Raw genomic sequence first — 27,241 nt, 5'->3', positions numbered from 1 at the left:
TCTCTCTTATAAAGATCCTTGTGATTACATTGAGCCCTTCGAGATGATCCAGAACAATCTCTCCATCTCAGGATCCTTAATCACTTCTGCAAAGTCCCTCTTGCCATGGAAGGTAAAATAGTCACAGGTTCTGAGGACTAGGATGTGAACACATTTGTGGGAGGGCACTAGTCAGTCTACCACAAGGCCTTTGAAATATACAACCAAAAAGGATATGCAGGTGAATTTCAGAGTTATTCAAGGAGCAGAATTAGGATTTAATAATTGGCTTGTTGTAGATATGGGGTCAGAGAGGGGGAAGGCTAAGAAAACCTTTTGCTTTCTAACTTGATCAACTGGTTGGGCTGGCGCCATTATCTGAGAAAGGGTGTGCTGGAGAAGCATGCTGTAGGGAGGGGAAAGTTATGAGGTGAGTTGTTGACACACGAATTTTGAGATGCCTTGAGAAATCCAGGCAGGGCTATACAGTTGACAGGTGAATGAATACACAGCTCTACAGCTCAGGAAAGGAATTACAAACCAAATTGCACACATATTTAAATATCCTGAGAGGAAGAAAACAAAATAATTGAAGCAGTCAAGTAGATAAGTAAATAAAATCTCTCAGAAAGGGAACCTAAAATGAGAAGAGGTAAGGTCTAAAGACAGAAGAATATGTGTGTGTGTGTGTGTGTGTGTGTGTGTGTGTGTGTGTGTGTACAAATTATATATATATATTTTTTTTTCTTTTTTTTTCTTTTCTGTTTTGCTTATTGGAGACAGGGTCTCACTCTGGTGCCCAGACTGGTGTGCGGTGGTGCCATCACAGTTCACTGCAGCCTTGAACTCCTAGGCTCAAGCAATTCTCCCACATCAGCCTCCTGAGTAGAAAATACCAATATTTTAAGTTCTAGTAAAGCTTTGAAAATTCCAAAGAGACAGAACATGTGGCTAGCATATTCTTTCCTACTAGCCCCCACTCTTTCTCTCCTGTTTCCTTCCCTCTTCTCTGCCCCACAGTTTTGACTCTTCTTTATTAACTACTCAGCCTTTCCCTAATCTTTAAGGAAGTACTGATTCTAGATCATGCCCAACAAATGCTACCGCCAGCATGCCTATAGAGAGAGGAACTGGCATCTCCAAGGAGACAGAAAGAAGGGGACAAAATAAATAAGTGTCCAGAAGATGAACGTGCAACAGCTGAGGATGTGAATGCCAATGAGGGGTTGAGAAGGACTTTTCTCTTCCTGCCTCCTCCCCTCACCTCAACACTGTCCCCCTTATAGAACCCATCAAAAGCCGTCAGAAAAAGAGAAGAAAGGGACAAGTAAAACATCTGGCAGTTCCCATGAGCAGGGAGGTGGGACCGCTTGGAGTCACAGTGGGCCTTCCTCTTCATGGCGTGGGGCTGTCACAGACCTGCCACAGACAAAGCTGAGACTGCTTCCATACCCGAGAAGGTGGTAAGCTTTATAGAGGTGGGCTCTGCATGTTTAGCATATCAGCACATCCTCTATGTTGAGTTTCATAGTGTTCAGGAATATGGGTTGGAATGTCTTTGGGCCCAGGAAGCATAGGGATGTGGCAGGTACCTGCAAGGGCAATGGCTCCAGGACAATAGGTGAGAAGACACAGTCACTCCCATTGTTTCACGGGGCTCTGGAAAATCTGCACTCAGATTCAGACCATGGCTTGGACTCACATCTAGTGGATTGCCCCACGTCTTCATTATATGCCCAGCACATAATACATCACATTACCAGCAACAACAGCCCCCCAAAAGCATCACAGTATGAAAGTGGAAAAGCATTTTTTAGGCTTTTACTACTTAGAAGTGCTTGCTCCAGACCAGGATTAACATGGATTACTGGGCGGAGTGGGAACGTGTGTGTGAGAGTGACTGCTTCATGTAAGAGAAGTAAGGGGCTGTAAGAGCGTTCTTTTTGCCAGCACTAAATTCTCCCCCAGCGGCTTACTCACTGCACCTGCTAGGTCTCCAGCATGGTCTCTCGGGGTTCCTTAACCCTGAGTGCCATTAGAAGCAAGTAGGGAGCTTATAAAATGAAAACAAAAACAAAAAACAGATGCCTGTGCCCCGCTACAAACCAACTGGATATCAAGATCCCTGGGAATCTGGTCCAGGCATTATTTTGCCCCCTTAAATGCCTCCAAAGTGATTTTAACATGCCGCCAGGGTGGAGAGCCCCTCATAATCTCAAGAACAAATCCTGAGTGGTACAACTGCTGATGAGTAATCAGGAGCAGACTGATTTCTGTTTCGACAGCAATTGGAAACACTGGCTGCAACATCACTCTTCTAACAGCAAACTCCAAACTACCACAGCAAGACTCCAAAGTACCTTGGCCAGCAATTCACATCAAAACCCATGTAATGGCCACCTATGCCTTCTCTTCTCCTGGAGTAAGCAAAGACAGGGCTTCTAAGGAACAGAGATGTAAGGGATGCTTTCACTCTGAAACAAAAGAATGAACATACTCATGAGACATCTCCCTGATTTTTTTATAAACACAGAAAGCAATTACTTAGTTTCTATCTAAGAAAAAACTTTTTCATCAGTCAGGATGCCAAGCTTGGCTCCACAACTTAGGCTGTGACATGGACATGAGACATGGCCTCTCAGAATTGATTTCCTGGCCTCTAAAGGTGGCACAGGGATACCCACCTACAGGTACAGTGCAGTGACTTAGGGTGCAAAGTTGAGATCTTTGCCCTACTTCAGTACAAACCTAAGATAAAATTAAGGCTAACACCTCGCCTCAAGAAACCTCCAATTTCAATAGAAACCAACAAAAATTAATGAAATATGTAAGCCAACCAAAAAGTCATTGACTTTCACTTAATTGCCAAAATGATTGCAGAAACAATATTTGGTGAGTGAATTCAGAGAAGGATGAGTACAACTCATTTCAGGCTCCTAACAATGTGAGAACATTTGCAGAGAAGGATGGATTGGCTGAGTTCTAAAGATTAGACAGGATTTGGGTTTGCTGAGAAGAGAGAGGAGGGCTTTACTGTTAAAGGAACCCTAAGAATCAATGCAAAGGGCTATTATTGAGTAAAAGACCTATTTTCCTCTGTTCATTCTTTATTCCCTGATAAATTATTCTGGAACAGCCTCCTCTCAGCTGCATGTTCTCTTCCTTCAACAAAATCCGATGTCTTGCCATATTCTTCTTCACATCACTGTTCTTTTTACTTGGCCTACCTGGGTCACCCCTAAAGCGAACCAGCCAGGCCTCAGTATATGGCAATGGTTTGTGTGAGAAGCAATCAGATGGTGTTGTTCTTTGCCCCTCAAGGGCAGTTTCAGGCACTTCTTTTGGGAGGAGGTGTCATGCCCATGCCTTTGTACTCCAGATCACTGTCTTAGCACAGGGGATTTCAGCCCTTTGTAATTTCCTACGTACCCTCAGCAGCCAACAGTGGCATGCCGCTTCACAAAACAGTGATGGTGATCCATCTCTTGAATTTGTAATCCCTCTATATTTTGTCACTGATTGTGAAGAGCTTTGTGATGCAAAATATACAATATAAAATGATTTGGGAATGAATACAGCTTTTGCACTCGCCTGAGGATTTCTTTCTTCTAGCCCTTCCTTCTTCCTCATTTTATACAGATGAGAAACTAAAAACTGGAGCAAGACCTTCCCTTTTTTGTATTCTAGCAGCTTAGAATAAAGTAAACAAAGCCCACCTCTCAGTCAGGCCAAACCTAGACACTCCCTTTCCAAGGGTCGAAGGTGATAAAACTCAAGGTGTGCTTTGCAGAGCCAAGAACTTCTCTCCTTGAAATGTCAACCCCTGTGCACAACAAGGAAATTTTAGCCCATTATGTTTCTGATTCATTTGCACTTAACTCATCAAGATATTGTTTTGTATGAGCTGTTTGATGTCTGAAGCACCTCATGAGCCTTTTTACGACCCTTTTATTTGAGAAGCTGGGAATTATGCCTAGCCAAGAATAAACAGAACTCAAAGCTTCGAACTCAGCTCAAAACATAGAACCCTTACTTAGGCAATGGCTAAATAGTCTGCTCTTTCTGAGTTTTGCCGTGTTTAATTGGAAAAAGACTCAGAGGAGTATAAGACAAGGAAAAACCAACAATGATTTGAAAATGCTTTGCTTCAGTCCTGGTAGATGCTGTCATTTGGTCTATATTAATTAGCATGGAAAAATATATCATCTTTTGGATCCAGCCTGTTTGTGAAAGCTATAAACATAAGACTATTTTGAAGTGAGAGACAGTGATAAGCAGATTTCATTTTGTTGTTGTTTCCTGAGCAGCGGTTCTTAATCAGATGAATGAACTTGTTTGTACTAGTTAACTTTGCTGGAGTTTAGGAGTTGTATTTAAAACAGATTTTATCCTACAGTGATATTAATTTGATAGGATCCCTGATCTGTAAACCATTGGTTATCTTGGTCTCTCCTGATAAGGAAAAAAAGTGCCGAGGATTTCCAGTTGGTGAGCACATTTGGGCAGAATCTTTCACACGTCACAAATTGCAGATGGGAGGCAGTGATCTCGAACATGCAGTCACATTGCGTGACCATCTGACACCTTCCATTTAGAAAAATAATACTTTCCTCCCAGCATACGCTCCCTGCTGCAACCAGCACCAAAAATTATGCCTGGGAGAGCCGTTCCTCCTAGACCAGGGTCTTAAATATTTCTTAGGCGCCTTTTAAAAGATTCATACTGCAGCAGCACCTAGCTCACACCCTAGTCACCTATAGAAAAATCCCAAAAAGGCAGCTTCTCAATGATGCTGCTGATAACAAAAACATCCACAAAGAACAAAAGGGGTGGGGGTGGGGGAACTGGAAGGAGACAGGAAAATTACACTAGACGCAGTTGTAAGGTGATTTATTCTTGTCTTCTGTGTGATTCGAGCATATTCACGTTAAAGTCAACGGACTTCTTTGTCGGCTCATTTCTAAGCTGCTTCACAGTGGCATAGAATTTCGCAGTCCCCAGGAGGGGGACCGGAGTCCCTGGGATTGTATATAACTTGCTCATCCACCAGTGTTCTGCACTAACCCATGCTCATTTAAGACAAGGAAGAGCATCTCTGCCTCGCCTCCTCTCCTGTACATTTAATGACCCCTGGCAACAGCAACGGCAGTGATTTCCAGCAGACATGTTCAAGCGGAGAGATTTTTAACCAGAAATTCAGAATTCTGATAGCATGTCCAAATGGGCAAAGCTTATTTGCTGTTTAACAAAAGCCATGGCAAATTCGTATCCAATCTCTATACATACGTACACACACATACAAACACACACACACATAAGGTTGCATGACACTGTGTGCACATGCACAAACACACGTACACAAAATGTGACTGACTTTCCCTGTTTCTTTGTCCCAGAGTGAAACTAAACACACTTCTGTGACCTGCTAGGTTGTCAATATCCACCTTAAAAGAATGAAGAGGGCCTGAATAGCTGCGGTCCTAGGAGAACAGACTCAAAACTGTTTCCTTAGAATCCTTTGCGGATATGGGGTAGGGGGAAGGGGTGTTTTCTCCATGATCATAGAACAGAGGTGGTTAAAACACTCAACCACCTGCTTTTAAAAAATATATTACCTTCTTCTCATTTTCACACTGCCCTAGGTTTCGGGGGACTTCCCAATAGCAGCACGTGAATAATTTTAGGGTTGTATATATCAGGATCTCATCGCAATGTTAAAAAAAGAAAGAACCTTTTTTAAAAATAAAAAACAATGTGGCATTTACAGGATTGACACCCTATTCTCTTTTCTTATAGAAAAGAAGTGCAGACGGCTTGATAATTCCTCTAATAATAACACAATCCTTTCCTTTCATAAGGAAGGGAAACTGCTTGAAAAGCTGCCACATCAGAAGGGTAGGCAAGAGGGTTTGTTCTCAAGAAAGCTTGAGTGTCAACTCCAGTAGGAATTCACTTATTTTCCTGAAGCTCTTTAAAAACATCAGAGCAATAGTCATTTGTAAAATCAACTCCACTTCTTTACCTATGGGACAAGAACAGCAAGGGGAGGACTTTAAAAAGAAAAAAAAATGAACAAGAACATGCTGCTTTGACCAGGGTTGCTCCAAAAGCATTCATCGCTCTCTAGGTATTTGTGCAAATATTTTAGTCTGTTGTTGTTTTCTCCAGATCTTTGACTGATAAGACCTATAAGGATAATACCTTTTGTCTTATGAGCTGTCTCTTTCTGTCTCTGTATCTACATGTACATGAATATTAAAATATACATATATATGTTTGTGGACATGCAAGAAATTTAATCAGGCTATCATGTGAAATATCAAATTATAAAGCTTCCTCCTAGTACAAGCTGTCCATAGGATCCACACATGCCATGCTTTGGTAATAGGGTTGAATAGTGCTTACCTGCCCAATGGTTTCTTTAGGTATCACTTATAGGTGTAACCCCAATCCACTTATCTCCCAGATACCTATTCATCTTTATACCATAACTTTAACCTCATCACTAACTCAATGACAAGGTACATTGTATTACCCAGATAAACTAAGCAAATGAAATGCCTGATTCCTAAAAGCTCCAGATTATTAAGGAAGTAACAGCTTGGGCCTGAACTATTGTCTGTGTTGTCCAGATAACAGCTAATTTGATATTGAGCTTGGGAGATCTATTATAACTGGGAAATAATCATGAAAACTTATGATTATTGAGCAGTTTTCATAGGCCACACATGGTTTTAAATAATTTTAATGTGTTTAAGGAAGGCACTATTATCTACCTTAATTTACACATAGAAATGAAGTAATTACTCAAGATAGCATGGCTAATGAGAAGTAGGGTCACTATCTGAACACTGGCAGACCAACTCTACTCCCCATACTCTCCATCTCTACGTAATGTAAGCTGCTTCCTTGTGACTTTTGCTTTAGGGATCCTCAGCTTTCAGTACCTGGAAGGGCTGCCTTTCCAGGTACAATTCTAATCAGAAGTAAACGACATGGGACAGCAGATATTTCTTACACTAGTTGGAGGGAGGTGGCAGTATATTTGGGCTAGATTAAAAACTATTACCTTAATGAGAAAAGCATGTTGTGCTGAGAATGATAGAGCAGAAGAATGGAAGAAATCTTGGTTCTAATGGCATCACTCACCCAAATCTGAAGGCTCTCACTCTCTGAGTATCTAGATATGAGACAAAATAAGTGTCCTTATTATCACTCCGATTTTTTTGTTGTGTTGTACTATTGAACTATTAAATGTGAAGTTGTACAGCCCATTGAATACTAGAGAAAATACATTAGCATCATCAATGTAATATTTGTTAATTCCCCCATAAAGAGGTGTCAATATTTTTGCCTAGTCGTGTTAAGTGGTAAAAGAAGTTATATATCAGAGATTTTAACCACAAGAAAAAATAAAATATGAAATAAATGTTAATGGGTACATTTATAGTTAGAAAACTTAATGCTATCCTTAGATTCACTATGTTATGTGTATCCTAAACTATAAAATTTGGTTTGTGTGACTCAAAATTCATCAAAATATTCCAGCAATAAATCTTGAGAAGAGGAGTAGAAAAAAGTAACATTTATACAGGAATTACTATTGGATGCATTTGCTAAATCAGAGATGAAATATCTTAACCAATCTGTAATGTCTTTCTCAAAATTAAAAAAGATAACTAATGTAGACTAAAAAAAGAAATGTAGACTAATTACTTGTCAAATTTTATTTTTAATTGCAACCCTTTTGTGGTAGCTTTTACAACAGACCCATACAACATTCTTTAGCCTTCTCTTTAATTTCTTCAAAGACAGTCAAGCACAAATCTCTTAGTATTAAATTGAATAGATGGCAAACAGAAACTTTGGCTGGATACTTTGCTGCTTCTTCTGTGGTAAGAAAAGGGAACATTCACTAGCATTCATTCAACAAATATGTATATAGAGTGCCTACTATGTGACAGACGCTGATCTAGGGACACAACAGTAAATGCAACAAAAAAACTGCCTGCCCTTTGGAGCACACATTCTAGTGGAAGGAATGCAGACAATTATCAAACAAAAATAAGTAACAGAAGTGACATAATGAGTGATATAAAGGAAAATAAAGTGGAAAGGGATGGAGAGTTTGTGATTTTAGATGGTCATGAGCAATGGCACATAGATAATGACCTGAGGGAGGTCAGGTGTCAAGCCTTGTGAATGGCTAAGAAAAGGGTATTCCCAGTAGAAGGAAAGAGCAAATGCAAAGGCCCTGAGGCCATAGCATACATGACATTTTCAAGAATCAGCAAGGAGGCCACTGGAGCAGAATGAGCAAGGGAGAGAGCTGGTAGCTGGAAGTGAGGTCCTTGAAAAAAGGGGGAGAAACTGGGGAGGGCAACCCTCAAAGTCTTTTGAGATAAACTTGACTCTGACTCTTAGTGTGTTTGCACAAAAACACACACTTTCTGAGTCAGTATTCTGCTCCCCTCTCAACTATCAACTACATATAACTAATCAACTAAATACAAATTCTTAGCTAAAAATTTTGTGCCATTCCTTTTCACATATCATCTTCATGTAGAGCTCTAGTTTGAAAAGGTTTTTATATGCTTTATCTCAAGTGGGCCACGGTTAACATCCATATTTTACATGCAAGAAAACTAAGTCTCAGAGGCACTGTTTTAGTATGTGTGTGCTGCTATAACAAAATACCTGAGCCTGGGTAATTTATAAACAATATAAATTTATTTCCTCACAGCCTGGAGGCTGGGAAGTCCAAGATTAAGACACCTGTAGGTTCCATTATCTGGTGAGGGATGCATCCTCTGGAGAGAGAACTCTCTGTCTTCACGTGGCAGAAAGCAGACAGACAACAGGGTCAAATGCTGGGTGAAGCCTCTTTTTAAAGAACTGAATCCCATTCATGAGGAAGGAGTCCTTATGACCTCATCACCTCTTAAAGGCCCCACCTCTTAATACCATCACATTGGCAACATCTGAATTTTGGAGGGGACACATTCAAACCATACCAGACCCAAACTGTCTTCACTAAATCTTATGGTGGTAAATGACAAAGGTGCTTTGGATTTGGTGCTTTACCCTCTAGCCACACTCCCCCAAAATTCTCAAAGCACTAAGCTTCATTGCCAAGGTCCTGACTAACAGTGGCATTTTGGTTTATGGGAAAGAGAAAACAAAATCTTGAATTTTTCTCTTCTCCATAAAATGTAAGTTCCTCTCACAATTTGGTGAAAGCAACAGACTGTTTCAAGAAAAATAAATAATTCTGTAATAAGGAAATACCATTATTCATTAAATTTCTCTTCAAAAAATGTTGGCAAATGTGAGGGTTTTGTTTTAAAATGTCCCAAATAATGACAGTATACCTAACCATGTGATTGTATACTGACGTAACTTTCTTGTGGGTTTTTATCAAAACTACTGAAATTTTATCTAAAAAAAATTTTGCCCTTCACTGTATGTTGCAATCATGAAATGCTAGTGATTTACAAACCCTTTCTCTTACAAGGAATAGCTATCAAAAATACCTGAAGATGACTGAGTAATCTTTTTATTGTGTTTGAATAATTCTTATATTTGTAGATTTCATATCAAGTAAAAATTTTTAAGTGGGGGTTTGCCTATGTAATATTACTTAGTCCAATACCCAATTTAAAAAAATAAAATTTTACATTTATATATATACACATACACCTATATCTGAGCATTAATTATATATATAAGATATATAAAAATAAATATATATGAGAAAATATGTATAAGACCATTATTATACATGTAAAAGCATATATGTGTGTAGAAACATATCCATAGATGGACTTCTATATCTATTCACCTATGGATTTATAAATATATAGAGGTAAGCATTAAAAGTTACATATCTATAGATCTATTTATGTAGTTCTACAGATAGATCTATAAATAGAGAGAAGCATTAAGAAATCACTATCTTCACCAGGTGCAGTGACTCATGCCTGTAATCCCAGCATTTTGGGAGGCTGAGGTGGGTGGATCACGAGGTCAGGAGATGGAGACCATCCTGGCTAACATGGTGAAACCCCGTCTCTACTAAAAATACAAAAAATTAGCCTGGCGTGGTGGCGGGCACCTGTAGTCCCAGCTACTTGGGAGGCTGAGGCAGAAGAATAGCGTGAACCCAGGAGGCAGAGGTTGCAGTGAGCCGAGATCACGCCACTGCACTCCAGCCTGGGCGACTGAGCGAGACTCTGTCAGAAACAAAGAGAGAAAGAAAGAGAGAAAGAGAGAAGAAAGAAAGAATGAAAGAAAGAAGAAAGAAAGAAAGAAAGAAAGAAAGAAAGAAAGAAAGAAAGAAAGAAAGAAAGAGAAGGAAGGAAAGAAAGAAAGGGAAAGAAAAAAAGAAAGAGAGAAAGAAAGAAAGAAAGAAAGAAAGAAAGAAAGAAAGAAAGAGAAAGAAAGAAAGAAGAAAAGGAAGAAAAGAAAGAAAGAAATCAGTATGGGGGAGGAGCCAAGATGGCCGAATAGGAACAGCTCCGGTCTACAGCTCCCAGCGTGAGCGACGCAGAAGACGGGTGATTTCTGCATTTCCATCTGAGGTACCGGGTTCATCTCACTAGGGAGTGCCAGACAGTGGGCGCAGGCCAGTGTGTGTGCGCACCGTGCGCGAGCCGAAGCAGGGCGAGGCATTGCCTCACCTGGGAAGCGCAAAGGGTCAGGGAGTTCCCTTTCCGAGTCAAAGAAAGGGGTGACGGCCGCACCTGGAAAATCGGGTCACTCCCACCCGAATATTGCGCTTTTCAGACCGGCTTAAAAAACGGCGCACCACGAGACTATGTCCCACACCTGGCTCGGAGGGTCCTACGCCCACGGAATCTCGCTGATTGCTAGCACAGCAGTCTGAGATCAAACTGCAAGGCGGCAGCGAGGCTGGGGGAGGGGCGCCGGCCATTGCCCAGGCTTGCTTAGGTAAACAAAGCAGCCGGGAAGCTCCAACTGGGTGGAGCCCACCACAGCTCAAGGAGGCCTGCCTGCCTCTGTAGGCTCCACCTCTGGGGGCAGGGCACAGACAAACAAAAAGACAGCAGTAACCTCTGCAGACTTAAATGTCCCTGTCTGACAGCTTTGAAGAGAGCAGTGGTTCTCCCAGCACGCAGCTGGAAATCTGAGAACGGGCAGACTGCCTCCTCAAGTGGGTCCCTGACCCCTGACCCCCGAGCAGCCTAACTGGGAGGCACCCCCCAGCAGGGGCAGACTGACACCTCACACAGCAAGGGTATTCCAACAGACCTGCAGCTGAGGGTCCTGTCTGTTAGAAGGAAAACTAACAAACAGAAAGGACATCCACACCGAAAACCCATCTATACATCACCATCATCAAAGACCAAAAGTAGATAAAACCACAAAGATGGGGAAAAAACAGAACAGAAAAACTGGAAACTCTAAAATGCAGAGCACCTCTCCTCCTCCAAAGGAACGCAGTTCCTCACCAGCAACGGAACAAAGCTGGATGGAGAATGATTTTGACGAGCTGAGAGAGGAAGGCTTCAGACGATCAAATTACTCTGAGCTACGGGAGGACATTCAAACCAAAGGCAAAGAAGTTGAAAACTTTGAAAAAAATTTAGAAGAATGTATAACTAGAATAACCAATACAGAGAAGTGCTTAAAGGAGCTGATGGAGCTGAAAACCAAGGCTTGAGAACTACGTGAAGAATGCAGAATCCTCAGGAGCCGATGCGATCAACTGGAAGAAAGGGTATCAGCAATGGAAGATGAAATGAATGAAATGAAGCGAGAAGGGAAGTTTAGAGAAAAAAGAATACAAAGAAATGGGCAAAGCCTACAAGAAATATGGGACTATGTGAAAAGACCAAATCTACATCTGATTGGTGTACCTGAAAGTGATGCGGAGAATGGAACCAAGTTGGAAAACACTCTGCAGGATATTATCCAGGAGAACTTCCCCAATCTAGCAAGGCAGGCCAACGTTCAGATTCAGGAAATACAGAGAACGCCAAAAAGATACTCCTCGAGAAGAGCAACTCCAAGACACATAATTGTCAGATTCACCAAAGTTGAAATGAAGGAAAAAATGTTAAGGGCAGCCAGAGAGAAAGGTCGGGTTACCCTCAAAGGGAAGCCCATCAGACTAACAGTGGATCTCTCAGCAGAAACCCTACGAGCCAGAAGAGAGTGGGGGCCAATATTCAACATTCTTAAAGAAAAGAATTTTCAACCCAGAATTTCATATCCAGCCAAACTAAGCTTCATAAGTGAAGGAGAAATAAAATACTTTACAGACAAGCAAATGCTGAGAGATTTTGTCACCACCAGGCCTGCCCTAAAAGAGCTCCTGAAGGAAGTGCTAAACATGGAAAGGAACAACCGGTACCAGCCGCTGCAAAATCATGCCAAAATGTAAAGACCATCGAGACTAGGAAGAAACTGCATCAACTAACGAGCAAAATCACCAGCTAACATCATAATGAGAGGATCAAATTCACACATAACAATATTAACTTTAAATGTAAATGGACTAAATTCTCCAATTAAAAGACACAGACTGGCAAGTTGGATAAAGAGTCAAGACCCATCAGTGTGCTGTATTCAGGAAACCCATCTCACGTGCAGAGACACACATAGGCTCAAAATAAAAGGATGGAGGAAGATCTACCAAGCAAATGGAAAACAAAAAAAGGCAGGGGTTGCAATCCTAGTCTCTGATAAAACAGACTTTAAACCAACAAAGATCAAAAGAGACAAAGAAGGCCATTACATAATGGTAAAGGGATCAATTCAACAAGAAGAGCTAACTATCCTAAATATATATGCACCCAATACAGGAGCACCCAGATTCATAAAGCAAGTCCTGAGTGACCTACAAAGAGACTTAGACTCCCACAAGTTAATAATGGGAGACTTTAACACCCCACTGTCAACATTAGACAGATCAACGAGACAGAAAGTCAACAAGGATACCCAGGAATTGAACTCACCTCTGCACCAAGCGGACCTAATAGATATCTACCAAACTCTCCACCCCAAATCAACAGAATATACATTTTTTTCAGCACCACACCACACCTATTCCAAAATTGACCACATAGTTGGAAGTAAAGCTCTCCTCAGCAAATGTAAAAGAACAGAAATTATAACAAACTATCTCTCAGACCACAGTGCAATCAAACTAGAACTCAGGATTAAGAATCTCACTCAAAGCCGCTCAACTACATGGAAACTGAACAACCTGCTCCTGAATGACTACTGGGTACATAACAAAATGAAGGCAGAAATAAAGATGTTCTTTGAAACCAACGAGAACAAAGACACAACATACCAGAATCTCTGGGACGCATTCAAAGCAGTGTGTAGAGGGAAATTTATAGCACTAAATGCCCACAAGAGAAAGCAGGAAAGATCCAAAATTGACACCCTAACATCACAATTAAAAGAACTAGAAAAGCAAGAGCAAACACATTCAAAAGCTAGCAGAAGGCAAGAAATAACTAAAATCAGAGCAGAACTGAAGGAAATAGAGACACAAAAAACCCTTCAAAAAATCAATGAATCCAGGAGCTGATTTTTTGAAAGGATCAACAAAATTGATAGACCGCTAGCAAGACTAATAAAGAAAAAAAGAGAGAAGAATCAAATAGACACAATAAAAAATGATAAAGGGGATATCACCACCGATCCCACAGAAATACAAACTACCATCAGAGAATACTACAAACACCTCTACGCAAATAAACTAGAAAATCTAGAAGAAATGGATAAATTCCTCGACACATACACTCTCCCAAGACTAAACCAGGAAGAAGTTGAATCTCTGAATAGACCAATAACAGGACCTGAAATTGTGGCAATAATCAATAGTTTACCAACCAAAAAGAGTCCAGGACCAGATGGATTCACAGCCGAATTCTACCAGAGGTACAAGGAGGAACTGGTACCATTCCTTCTGAAACTATTCCAATCAATAGAAAAAGAGGGAATCCTCCCTAACTCATTTTATGAGGCCAGCATCATTCTGATACCAAAGCCGGGCAGAGACACAACCAAAAAAGAGAATTTTAGACCAATATCCTTGATGAACATTGATGCAAAAATCCTCAATAAAATACTGGCAAACCGAATCCAGCAGCACATCAAAAAGCTTATCCACCATGATCAAGTGGGCTTCATCCCTGGGATGCAAGGCTGGTTCAATATACGCAAATCAATAAATGTAATCCAGCATATAAACAGAGCCAAAGACAAAAACCACATGATTATCTCAATAGATGCAGAAAAAGCCTTCGACAAAATTCAACAACCCTTCATGCTAAAAACTCTCAATAAATTAGCTATTGATGGGACGTATTTCAAAATAATAAGAGCTATCTATGACAAACCCACAGCCAATATCATACTGAATGGGCAAAAACTGGAAGCATTCCCTTTGAAAACTGGTACAAGACAGGGATGCCCTCTCTCACCGCTCCTATTCAAAATAGTGTTGGAAGTTCTGGCCAGGGCAATCAGGCAGGAGAAGGAAATAAAGGGTATTCAATTAGGAAAAGAGGAAGTCAAATTGTCCCTGTTTGCAGACGACATGATTGTTTATCTAGAAAACCCCATCGTCTCAGCCCAAAATCTCCTTAAGCTGATAAGCAACTTCAGCAAAGTCTCAGGATACAAAATCAATGTACAAAAATCACAAGCATTCTTATACACCAACAACAGACAAACAGAGAGCCAAATCATGAGTGAACTCCCATTCACAATTGCTTCAAAGAGAATAAAATACCTAGGAATCCAACTTACAAGGGATGTGAAGGACCTCTTCAAGGAGAACTACAAACCACTGCTCAAGGAAATAAAAGAGGATACAAACAAATGGAAGAACATTCCATGCTCATGGGTAGGAAGAATCAATATCGTGAAAATGGCCATACTGCCCAAGGTAATTTACAGATTCAATGCCATCCCCATCAAGCTACCAATGCCTTTCTTCACAGAATTGGGAAAAACTACTTTAAAGTTCATATGGAACCAAAAAAGAGCCCGCATCGCCAAGTCAATCCTAAGCCAAAAGAACAAAGCTGGAGGCATCACACTACCTGCTTCAAACTATACTACAAGGCTACAGTAACCAAAACAGCATGGTACTGGTACCAAAACAGAGATATAGATCAATGGAACAGAACAGAGCCCTCAGAAATAACGCCGCATACCTACAACTATCTGATCTTTGACAAACCTGAGAAAAACAAGCAATGGGGAAAGGATTCCCTATTTAATAAATGGTGCTGGGAAAACTGGCTAGCCATATGTAGAAAGCTGAAACTGGATCCCTTCCTTACACCTTATACAAAAATCAATTCAGGATGGATTAAAGATTTAAACGTTAGACCTAAAACCATAAAAACCCTAGAAGAAAACCTAGGCGTTACCATTCAGGACATAGGCGTGGGCAAGGACTTCAAGTCCAAAACACCAAAAGCAATGGCAACCAAAGCCAAAATTGACAAATGGGATCTAATTAAACTAAAGAGCTTCTGCACAGCAAAAGAAACTACCATCAGAGTGAACAGGCAACCTACAACATGGGAGAAAATTTTCGCAACCTACTCATCTGACAAAGGGCTAATATCCAGAATCTACAATGAACTCAAACAAATTTACAAGAAAAAAACAAACAACCCCATCAAAAAGTGGGCGAGGGACATGAACAGACACTTCTCAAAAGAAGACATTTATGCAGCCAAAAAACACATGAAAAAATGCTCATCATCACTGGCCATCAGAGAAATGCAAATCAAAACCACTATGAGATATCATCTCACACCAGTTAGAATGGCAATCATTAAAAAGTCAGGAAACAACAGGTGCTGGAAAGGATGTGGAGAAATAGGAACACTTTTACACTGTTGGTGGGACTGTAAACTAGTTCAACCATTGTGGAAGTCAGTGTGGTGATTCCTCAGGGATCTAGAACTAGAAATATGATTTGACCCAGCCATCCCATTACTGGGTATATACCCAAATGACTATAAATCATGCTGCTATAAAGACACATGCACACGTATGTTTATTGCAGCATTATTCACAATAGCAAAGACTTGGAACCAACCCAAATGTCCAACAATGATAGACTGGATTAAGAAAATGTGGCACATATACACCATGGAATACTATGCAGCCATAAAAAATGATGGGTTCATGTCCTTTGTAGGGACATGGATGAAATTGGAAACCATCATTCTCAGTAAACTATGGCAAGAACAAAAAACCAAACACCGCATATTCTCACTCATAGGTGGGAATTGAACAATGAGATCACATGGACACAGGAAGGGGAATATCACACTCTGGGGACTGTGGTGGGGAGGGGGAAGGGGGGAGGGATAGCACTGGGAGATATACCTAATGCTAGATGACGAGTTAGTGGGTGCAGCGCACCAGCATGGCACATGTATACATATGTAACTAACCTGCACAATGTGCACATGTACCCTAAAACTTAAAGTATAATTAAAAAAATAAAAAAATAAAAAAAATAAAAAAAAAGAAATCAGTATATTCTATTACCAAAATATCCTCACCTGGACATTGTAACACACACACGCATACAGGAAGAGCATAACCTAAGAATAATGAATATTTCTCCAAGTAAATTCATTTAATTTTATATTTAAAAAGACTAATTACAGTGCCCTGTGCCCTTGTTTTTCTAAATCATAGCCGACTTTACCCAGTGTGAGGACTGGCCTTGGAGAGTGGAAATAGGATCAAACAGATTAGGATCCAGTCCTAACTCCACCACTTACTTGCTGCATGACCTGTGGCAAAATACCTGACCCTTTATGCTTCAGTTTTCTCCTCTGTAAAATCTGAGAAACAGCAACAATCGCATAGGATTGATGTGAGGTTTAAATGAAGTATTTATGTAATGCATCTAGCAGGTACCTGAATCATAATAAATGTCCAATGTTTATTCACTTCCCTCCAAGTCTACTCAGTTTCTTCCTCATCTTCATCTTTCAAGTACGGATTTCAAGTGCAGTAAATAAATAAGTGCTCAATAAGTATTTGCGGACTATCTACTTAAGCTGGTTCACTGACTGTTTAAAATAATAAAAAATTGGGTCTTATATTATTCTTCCTAGCAATAATTAATCAGACTTAGCTGGACATTGTGGCTCACACCTGTAATCCCAGCACTTTGGGAGGCTGAAGCGGGTGGTTCACTTGAGGCCAGGAGTTCAAGACCAGTCTGGCCAACATGGTGAAACCCAGTCTCTACTAAAAATACAAAAATTAAGCCGGGCATGGTGGAACACACCTATAATCCCAACTACTCAGGAGGCTGAGGCAGGAGAATTGCTTGAACCAGGGAGGCAGAGGTTGCAGTGAGCCAAGATGGCACCACTGCACTTCAGTCTGGGCAACAGAGCAAGACTGTCTCAAATAAAAATAATAATAATAATAATAAATCAGACTTATTTTTCTTACCTAAATTCCTCATGTGAAATATGCCTTTTTCAGCTTTGTATTTCTATAAACATAGGAAGCAGTCATAAACATTTGGCAAATTGAGTTGGTTACTAAATTTCCTTTGCACAAGATTGACAAATCTGTCAATAAAAATTTTTAAATGATGTATTTTGCTGATTGCACTTGAATCCTCCATTTTTATTTATACAATTGAGTGCGCTAACCCTCTGAATCATTTACCTTTTCACCATTTTTCTCTTCCAGAATCTTTGAGGGCTGCCATGTAGATGAATCCTATCATCTTGATTGGACCCCAAATTTCTCACCATGTGCCTCTTAACTACAGTATATATGGCTGCTTCTGAAGATGGCACAATTAAGAAGATGACTATTTTAATTGAGGAGCTACTGAATAAAGCTGTGATTCTTTACTTTTGGGGAAGTTTTTTCTGTTTTTGTTTGTTTGTTTGTTTTTTGTTTGTTTGTTTTTGCTTCTGGACATTTGCTTTCCTTTCAATAAACCGCTGTTCCTCTGGAATACAAAAGAAAGGATTGTAATGGTAAGTGGAATAGCCTCCCATCTATTTCCTCATCTACATTCCTAAACTGCAGTGCAATTGGTTGATATCTAATTGGCTTGTAAGTAATACTGCTGGTTACATTATGTTATGCTATTTCAGATATATATCAGTTCTTGTTATGGTCCTCTCTATCGTTACTGAGTTTAGAAAATTGTTTTGGCTGCCCATTTCTTAGAGTATGCAAATCATAGATCTATGGCTTGAAAAGATTCATTTCATCATGGTCATCCTTTGGCGTATACAGGTCTTTTTTCCCTGGCTCCTATATGGTCTGAGAAAATAAAACTGCTCATCATGTATCGAGTGAAAAGGAAATAATCAGCTTGAAACAAAATTGACTCAATTTGTAATTTTTTTCTTTACCATAATTTTATATCATTTTGCAAGTTAAAGTTTACCTTATAATCTTTTATAGGCTTTTATAATAATATGAATGAATCATAATATGCTAGCAAGTTATAGTAAAATAACTAAAATAACTAAAGAGTTATGATGAAAACAAGCAGAAATTTGCCCTACCCTTTCCCAGTTCTCCTTTTTAAAGACCATCATTCCCTCTTTTAACTACTTCTCTTAACATTTATCTCTGATAATTTGCTTAGGCCACAATGTCTTTATCACTTTTGACTTTCTATATCTGCCACTTCTCCCCAATTCAATATAATTAAAACAAAAAAGAGTTAAATCAAAAATCAGTGTTCACATTACTGTGTACTATAGTATCAAGTAATTACTGTGATTAGATTTCCTTCCTTGTACAATTGCTGTTGATAGAGTTTATTTTTGCCGTTTTTTGTTATTTGAGTAGTTTTTTGGAAACGAATTCATAACTTTTCCAACTGCTCCTCTGAAGCCACCATACATTTAAAACTAGTACTTTTTTATTCAAATTTCCAAACATAGCTGGTACACTAGCAATTCTCTTTTCACCCTGATCCACCTTTTTTTCTGGAAATTTTCTTCCTAGAAACACTGGTTTCCCTTCTTCACTCTAAACTGGTGCTTCTTTAAGCCTGCTATCTAGACAGTATCTGAGATTTTCTTTTCCTAACTTCGTGAAATGTACATATTTTCCCAAAGAGCTATGTTTTCCTTTTCTTCATTTATTTCTTGGTTCTGCTGAAGCCTAACCTCTGGTAGTTTGCAAAAAAAAAGAAAGAAACAATGGAAGAGGCATCTGGAAATGATTTATTTCTTATTCAAAATCTTGATGGATGGTTTGATTGGGTAGAAAATTATGAGTTGAAAATTATGTTTATGTCAAGAAGTTGAAGTCTTACTATTTCTGGGGGCCTGCCATTCCCAATACTTTGCCAAATATGGTCATTTTATTTCTATCTATTGTGTTGAGCCCCTTGAATTTCAAACCTCATGTTCTCCAGGATGGAAAATGTATTTTTAAATTAATCTATTCATCTACCCTACTTTCTTCACTCTCTTTTCCTAGAACATGTATTGGTAGGATGTTAGACTTTTTTGATTGATTTTATATATGTAAATATTTGTATCTATATTTTCTCTTGTTTTTCCATCCTAGATCTTTTTATCCTACTTATGAAGATATTTTCACATTTTTATAATTTAGTTTTTAACTTTCTGGTTATATTTTAGCTTTTTTTAATGAATGCCTTACTATACCCCTTTTTTTAAATCTGAGGATATTGCTTTAAAAGCTTTCTTTTATTCTTTTGGAGTTTTTGTGTGGTTATTTGGTGGTAGTGGTGGTTGGTTGGTTAGTTGGCTAGTTGGTTGGTTAATTTTTAATGTTTCTTCTGTTCTCCGCATGATCTCTGTTTCTTTCAAGTTAATTTTTTTCTCTCTCTCCATCTTGTAGACTTCCATCAAAAACTGGATTGTTATTACTCTAATTTCTATTTATACTTAAGAATAATTTAGTAAAGTATGATTAAGTGTGATTGAATACTCTATGCCATTAGACAGGATTGTTCATTGATGAGCAATGTTCTTGAGTCCTGAGGCTTCCCCTTCTAGGTTATTCAGAGGATAGCTCCCAGTCCACCTGGCCAAGGGGAAAGTGGAGAAAGCTGACTTTACTGGGCTCTGACATTGTTAAGATACTTCTAATCATTCCTGATTTTCAGTGCGATACTTCCACCCTGCCCTGTCTTGGACTGCTAATCCCAAGTTCTGAGTCCCTTAGAAATTCTGAGGTGCCCATCAGCTCACTTTTTGTTACTTTCATCACTGCGAGATCTTAAACCTTAAGATCTTCCTCCGTGCTCGTGAGTCCACCAAGGGCCGTTTCCCAAAACATATTGAAATCCCTCATCCGCTTCTATCTGTTTTCATTTTATCTTTGCCCTTTTTAGTCTATTTTATCCCCTTTCTATCCGTTTCAGAGGTGGGCCAGAGCAAGAGGAAATAGCATGGTCACACCACCTTTTCTAACCTATACCTGTAGTTTTGATTTGCAAAATTTTCTAATTTTTTTTCTAACTTCCTCACTGACAAGTAACAAAACTGAGAATATATGTTGCTTTCATTTGGTTTTAAATTGAATAATGTCTAACATGGCAGTTATTCACAAACGTTTATTTGCAGACAGTGAACATAATGAAAGTATTGTATAATTATTTAATGATTACAGTGTAGGCTATTATAGACTGGCCAATTAACAAATTAGAGCAAAAATGTAACATCAGGGATGAATTTACCTTGTCTATATGAAGAAATCTGCCCTTCATTATATAGAAAAATAAAAGCTTTTTTGAGTGTTTTTAGTCAGTATTTTAGCTTCGTAAAGATAAATCTTCTTAGTCCTTAAAAGCTATATTAAAATAATTTAAATAAACATCCTCTTATGATAGGAGGCTGCTTTGAGCTTTCTGACTGAAAGACTCTGTATAGGCCAGCACTGGTCATCTCCAGATCATACAATGCTAACATAAGGTCCCCCATGGAACCCACATCCTGCTTTTGGTCAGCATAGCCTGTGCTCACTGAGGTTCAGAGAACTGAAGTGTCCATGCTGAGATCTCCTCCCAGATGTTTTTATTCTCTAACTGACCACAGATTTTTTTAAAACTAATATGGAAAATTACAGAGTGTTCTTTCTTAGTTGTGTGATTAAGCAGGATAAGCAACAACACTGACAAGTTGCCTTGATAAATTTCAGAAGCCAAATAATACTGTTGACTCTTGGGAATGAATTCACTGAAGGATGATACACTACTCTTAAGGAGTAGTCACTGGAGATTTCCCCAGTACTCCACAGACTTTGAACAAAAACTCTAGAAAAAATAAAAGGCAAGGGCAAAGGCAAAATAATGAAAAGAAATGTACAACCAGATTTTGGCTTGTTTTATTAACACCTTTATTGAGATATAATTTGCACAAAATAAAATTCATCCTGTGAAAGTGTAAAATTCATGGCTTTTTAATATACCCCTAGTGGTACAGCCATCATCACTCTTGATTTTAGGACATTTTCCTCAAAAGGAAAATGTCTGGCCCAGCATGGTGACTCATGCCTGTACTCCCAGCACTTTGGGAGGCCGAGGCATGTGGATCACCTGAGGTCAGGAGCTCAAGGCCAACCTGGCCAACATGGTGAAACTCTGTCTCTACTAAAAATACAAAAATTATCCAGGAGTGGTAGCAGGCACCTGTTGTCCCAGCTACTCAGGAGGATGAGGCAGGAGAGTAGCTCGAACCCAGGAGGTGGAGATTGCAGTGAGCCGAGGTGGAGATTGCAATGATCCAAGATGGTGCCACTGCACTGCAGCCTCGGTAACAGAGTGAGACTCTGTCTCAAAAAAAAAAAGAAAAGAAAAAAAAAGTTCTCTCAAAAAGAAATCCCACAGTTATTAGCAGTTGCTTCCCTTTTTTCCTTCCCCCGGCCTTTGGCAACCACTAATCTACCTATGTCTCTATGGATTTTGCCGATTCTGGGTCTCTCCTATAAATGAAACCATACAATATCTGGTCTCTTGTGACTTGTTTCTTTCACTTAGGAGAATGTTCTCTTCATGGATAAAGTATAGCACCAAGGAAATACTTTATCTTGTCTATATGAAGAAATCTCCTCTTCATTCTATAAGATAATAGAAGCTTTTTTATGAGGAAGTGCTTTTAGTCCATTTATTAGGCATATATATCCATGTTGTAGTATATATCACAAATTCACTCATTTCTGTTTTCAAATATTTCACTGTATGGCTGTACCACTTTTGTTTACTCATCAGTTGAAGGACATTTGGATTGCTTTAATTTTTTGGCTATCAGAAATAAGCTTTTATGAACATTTATATCCAGGTTTTTATGTGGAGATAAATTTCCATTTCTTTGGGGTTTATTCCTTAGAGTAAAAAGGCAGTTCATGAGGTTTAAACTTTTGAGAAAATTCCAAACTCTTTTCCAAAATGGCTGCACTACATCAGTATTATATGAGGGCTTCAAATTCTCACATTCTCACCAACACTTCTTATTGCCTATATGGTTTATGTTGTTGCTTTTTTTTTGCTTTAGCTATTCTAGTGGATGTGAGGCAACATCTCATGATTTTTATTTGCATTTTCCTAATGAATAGTGATGTTGAGCATCTTTTCATAAGCTTAATGGCCATTCATGTATCTCCTTTGAGAAAAGGTCTACATAAATATTTTGATAAGTAGGGTTTATTTCTGAACTCTCAATTCTATTTTGTTGATCTCTATTTCTATCCTTATAGTCTTGTTTACTGTAGCTTTGTAGTAAGTTTTGAAACTGGGAAGTGTTGAGTCCTCCAAGTTTTTTCATCTTTTTCAAAATTGATTGCACTCTTTTGGATCCCTTATATCTTCATACAAATCTTAAGATCCACTTTTCAAATTCTGCAAAAACAAAAAAGGCAGCTGAGATTGCACTGAATTTGTGGATCAATTTGGGTAGTATTGCTATCCTAACAATATTAAGTATTGCAATCCATGAACATGAGATATCTTTCCATTTATTCAAGTCTTCTTTTACTTCTTCCAACATTTTGCAGTTTTCAGTGTACAGGCCTTGCACTTCTGTTGAATTTATTTCTAAATTATTTTTATCACATATAATGTCATTTTAAATGAAATTGTTTTACTTTCAGATTGTTCATTGCTAATATATAAAAATATAATTGATTTATGTATCATGATCTTTTAACCTGCAACCTTACTGAACTTGTTTATTACTTCTTTCTTTTGGCATAGATTCCTTAGGATTTTCTACATAAGATCATATAATCGATCACAAAGGTAGTTTTACTTCTTTCCTTAAAATTTGGGTGGTTTTTAATTCTTTTTCTTGCCTAGTTGCTCTGGCTAGGATCTCTAGCACAATGTTGAAGTGAAGTGGTGAGGGTAGACATCTTTGTCTTGATCTTACAGGAAAAGTGTACTACAATTCACCAGTAAGTATGATATTACCTGTGGGTTTTTCTGAGATGCCTTTTATCAGGTTGAGGAAGCTTCCTACTATTGCTAGTCAGTTGAGTGTTTTTATTATGAAAGGGTGTTTGATATTTTCAAGTGCCTTTCCTGTATCTATTGAGATAATTACATGGATTTTGTTCTCTATTCTACTAATATGATGTATTACACTGATTGTTTTTCAGATGCTAAACCAGCTTTGCATTCCTGGGATAAATCCTACTTGGTCATAACACATAATCTTTTTTATATGTTGCTGACTACCAGTTTGATTTTAGTTGTGATCAAATATCCTGCACAGTATTTGAAATGTGATGACAATGTCAAATATTAAGTATAACAACAATAATAATATGTATGTCTGGCTCTTTGCTGGGTATTTTTACATGCATCAGCTTACTTGTTCCTCATGCCAGTCCAATTAGTTAGATTCTAATAGTATCCTAATTTTACAGATTACAAACCTGAGTCTCAGCAAAGTTATGTACCGTGCCCGTGGTCATAGAACTAGTGAGTGGAGGTGCTGGTATTCTAAGCCAAGAAGTCTGGCTCCATGACCTGAGCTCTTAACCACTACTTTCTGAGAGTATCTATCCAGATATGGATACTCTTGCCTGAAGTAAGAACTATAGCTTCTCTTTATATTTTTACTTCCCATCTGTCTGTTGTGCTTGGCCAATAGTACAAGGTTTTGACCACTAAAGATGAGTAAGCAGTGCTGACTCACAAGATTGTTTTTTGGACAGAGACAGAGATAGTTTCATTCAATTTAGATTCAGTTTGGCACATACATGCCATGATCCATAGGAATAAATACCTGAGAGATGACTGAAAATAGGTCCCCTATACAAACTGGATTTAACTAGAAAATGTACAATTTTTTTTCACTAAATTGAAGAATTATGATTTCCACCTCACTGTCTCTAATATTTATATGGTTATTTGTTCCGGATGTTTGGAAAGATTTCCCTAAGCTTATCTCACCAGATCTGTTTGTATCTCTCAGGTAATGAGAGAAAATAATAATAATCAAGGGTGAGGAGGTTGCAGAGGAAGAAAATTTTAACAAGAATATGCACAAAGGAAATAATAAATTGGAGTAGTAAAGCATTCTTTTTTATTCTTTTCCAAAATACTCTTTAATTTGACTATATTGTTTTACAGTTCAAAGGGGGAGAAATATTAAATATGAATAAATAAGTCTGGGAGGAAAAAACTGAGATTATAACTTTACATTCTAATATCATTTTGAGTTATTTTTTCTATCCTTTCTATTTTCTAATTTTCATTTTACAGTGCCCTTTAAATTTTCTATATTTAATAATTTCTTAGGATTATTTTCCAGAAATTTCAGCTGCCAAAGTGAAGAATGCTTTGAAAAGATCTATGCCAAAAATAGTGTTCTACAGAAAACTATCATTCAAATTAAATATGAGCTAAAATGAATTAAAACTCTTTATTTTTTCCGGGTAAACTCTCAATTCTTACCAGTAGCTATTAGATCATGTCTCAGAGTAATTAGGAATTCAGAATCCACAGTCCCCAAAAACACCTCAGACTCCTAATCTCAAATCCAGGGGCTAACCTTTTAAGTAACAGTTCATCAATTCTACACATGTTAATAAAATTTCAGAGGAGCTCTTGTCTTTATCACTAAGAAAAGTTGAAAGAAAAGAACCCAGCTCAACCATCCCTGCCCTAAATTCCTGTGCTTCCATGCTCTGCTCTCTCACAAGGCAACCCTGTGAGAAGTGGCAGCTCTGTGCTCTCCCCCACTGCCCGTCTGTAGCACTGCATGGCTTTGCATTGCTTAAGGATAAACAGGTTGGAGTTGCATATGGTTAGCATTTTTTGTTTGAGCTGGTGCAGGGAGAGGTTGTTTAGCATCTGCAGGTCTCACATGGTGTCACGGGCAGTAAAGGAATGACTGAAGTAGTTGCAGACAGCATGGAGTCTGCATTCCTCTCTTTGCCTAAGAAATCATGGATAATTAAATTAGCATGGATCGAATGCAAAGTATGAGACCAGAGGCATTAGAATACAAACCCCCATCTCAACATGGGATCACCATATTTACCTGTATTATATGAGGCGATAAAACACCAGAGGAGAAAAAGTAATAAAAACAAAACAGTAATAAAAACTTACATTTACATAATTTCTTTCTGTCCCAGGATTCCAAAGCATTTTAATGAAAATCATACAGGAAAATCTGTCACATGACATGTGACTTATAACTGCCAGAAGAGCTCACTAGTGATTACAGCGTGGCCAAAGGAACTGGAGACAAAAATGCACGTTAGGAAAGCTGGTGTTTAAAAAGAAGGGGAGTCCTGTTTTAGGTTTTCTCACTCACTCTGTTACCTTTATGACTATAAGTCAGAGTGATCAATTTCAAACCTACCCCCACTGTAATTTGAGAGTGGTGAGAAGCATTAAAAGGGCACAGATTTGCCAAATTGCATCAACCTGGAAGGATAAAATCCATGCTTACTTAGGAAATTGTCAAATGCACACTTTATTTCCTTTTAGTCTCTCTTCATTGGCACTTCTCGATGCAAGTTAAAGGACAAGGACTTCATCATATGCGTCCAGTCTTATTAGGTTTCCTAGGCATGTTTCCCACACACAAACTGAAATTCATACTGTGTTTATGAAATCAGGCCAGTTTTGTTATGACTTTGAAAGATTTGTAAGGAACAGATGCTAGCTCCAGCTGTTTTTATCAGTGATCTGCAGGCTGAGGTGGTCCTAAGGAGGTTGTGCTCTTTCTGAAAGTCATTAAATTGTGTTATACTAGCACTCACATATTGAGAATTTCCACGTAAAGTTAGATTCAAGAAATATATTCTGCTAGAAGCCAACAGGATTTTTTAAAAGATGAGACAGTCATACAATAGTCCCTACCACAGAACATGAGGACATCTGTGGCATATCTGACACCTTTTAACTCAACAAAATCCCTCGTATGTGTCAGGCAGATGCCAATTATTATACTAATAATAAGATTGATAGGAAGAATAATGAGTGCACACTCTAAAAAGACACTCTGTAATCTTTTTAAAAGTATTACCTAATTTAAGTCTCAGCAACACAGTGAGGTAGGTACACCTTTTAATCGCATTTAAGGATAGCAAAACCAAAGTTCTAAGTGTTTTGGGAATGGTTATGTGGATAGCAGATAACCAAAGTTGTCTGCTGATGTCACATAGCCATTTATAAAGTGTCATTGATTCTAAAATGAAGTCACAAGGAAACCATTCTATAGTCTTACTTTTCTCTTGTATTCTTATCTCCAGCTAATAAGTCCAAGAAACGAGAGAAGGTCAAGGCTCTATTCTGAGTTTCATTGAAAAACAAGTACAGAGGAGAATCTCAGGAAGGCAGAAATGAGAAAACAAATAGAAAATCAGCCCTATATCCTAACTATTGGTATCAAATCATTATTTTTTCTCAATTCATCTAACAAATATTATGTTTCCTTGTTATAGTGGAGACTACAACATAACTGTTTTAATGACATTTACATTATAAAAAGGAAGCATGGAGCTATGTCTATCAAAAGCTTTTTATGTTCTACTTGTTATGACTTCATGAGACAAAATATAATAGATGCTGTTATCTGTATGTGAATTTCCATAAGCCACATATTCATTCTGCGCACTCTGAGCCTCAGTTTCTCCTCTAAAATCCTTCCAGCCCAAAATTCAATGATTCTATAATTCTAAGTCACAGCAGATTTTGAGTTTGCTTTCTTTTATATTCATTATTATTTTTATGTCTTCCAGAATGTGAGATAGATTACATTAACCA

General features: G+C 38.5%; 1 long non-coding RNA gene across 17 annotated transcripts in view; it reads right to left on the bottom strand.

Annotated features, from left to right (window-relative positions):
* Nucleotides 1-27,241, bottom strand: part of LOC105372058 (uncharacterized) — an 83,282-nt gene that overhangs the window by 43,572 nt on the left and 12,469 nt on the right. For 10 of the 17 annotated variants that reach the window (XR_001753390.2, XR_935347.2, XR_001753391.2 and 7 more), the window contains 2 exons: nucleotides 17,683-17,974; nucleotides 7,049-7,159 (listed from right to left, as the gene is read on the bottom strand). The exons of 1 other annotated variant lie outside the window; for it this stretch is intronic. This is a non-coding gene — a long non-coding RNA (uncharacterized LOC105372058). Of the gene's footprint in view, nucleotides 1-7,048; nucleotides 7,160-7,691; nucleotides 7,870-17,682; nucleotides 17,975-27,241 lie in introns of those variants that run through there. 6 more of the 17 variants (XR_935346.2, XR_935360.2, XR_935350.2 and 3 more) reach the window with 5 other exon arrangements.

Source organism: Homo sapiens, chromosome 18 (assembly GCF_000001405.40).
Source record: "Homo sapiens chromosome 18, GRCh38.p14 Primary Assembly".
Lineage (NCBI taxonomy): Eukaryota > Metazoa > Chordata > Mammalia > Primates > Hominidae > Homo > Homo sapiens.
Note: the sequence above shows the minus strand (reverse complement) of the source record. Positions and strands in the feature narration are given on the sequence as shown.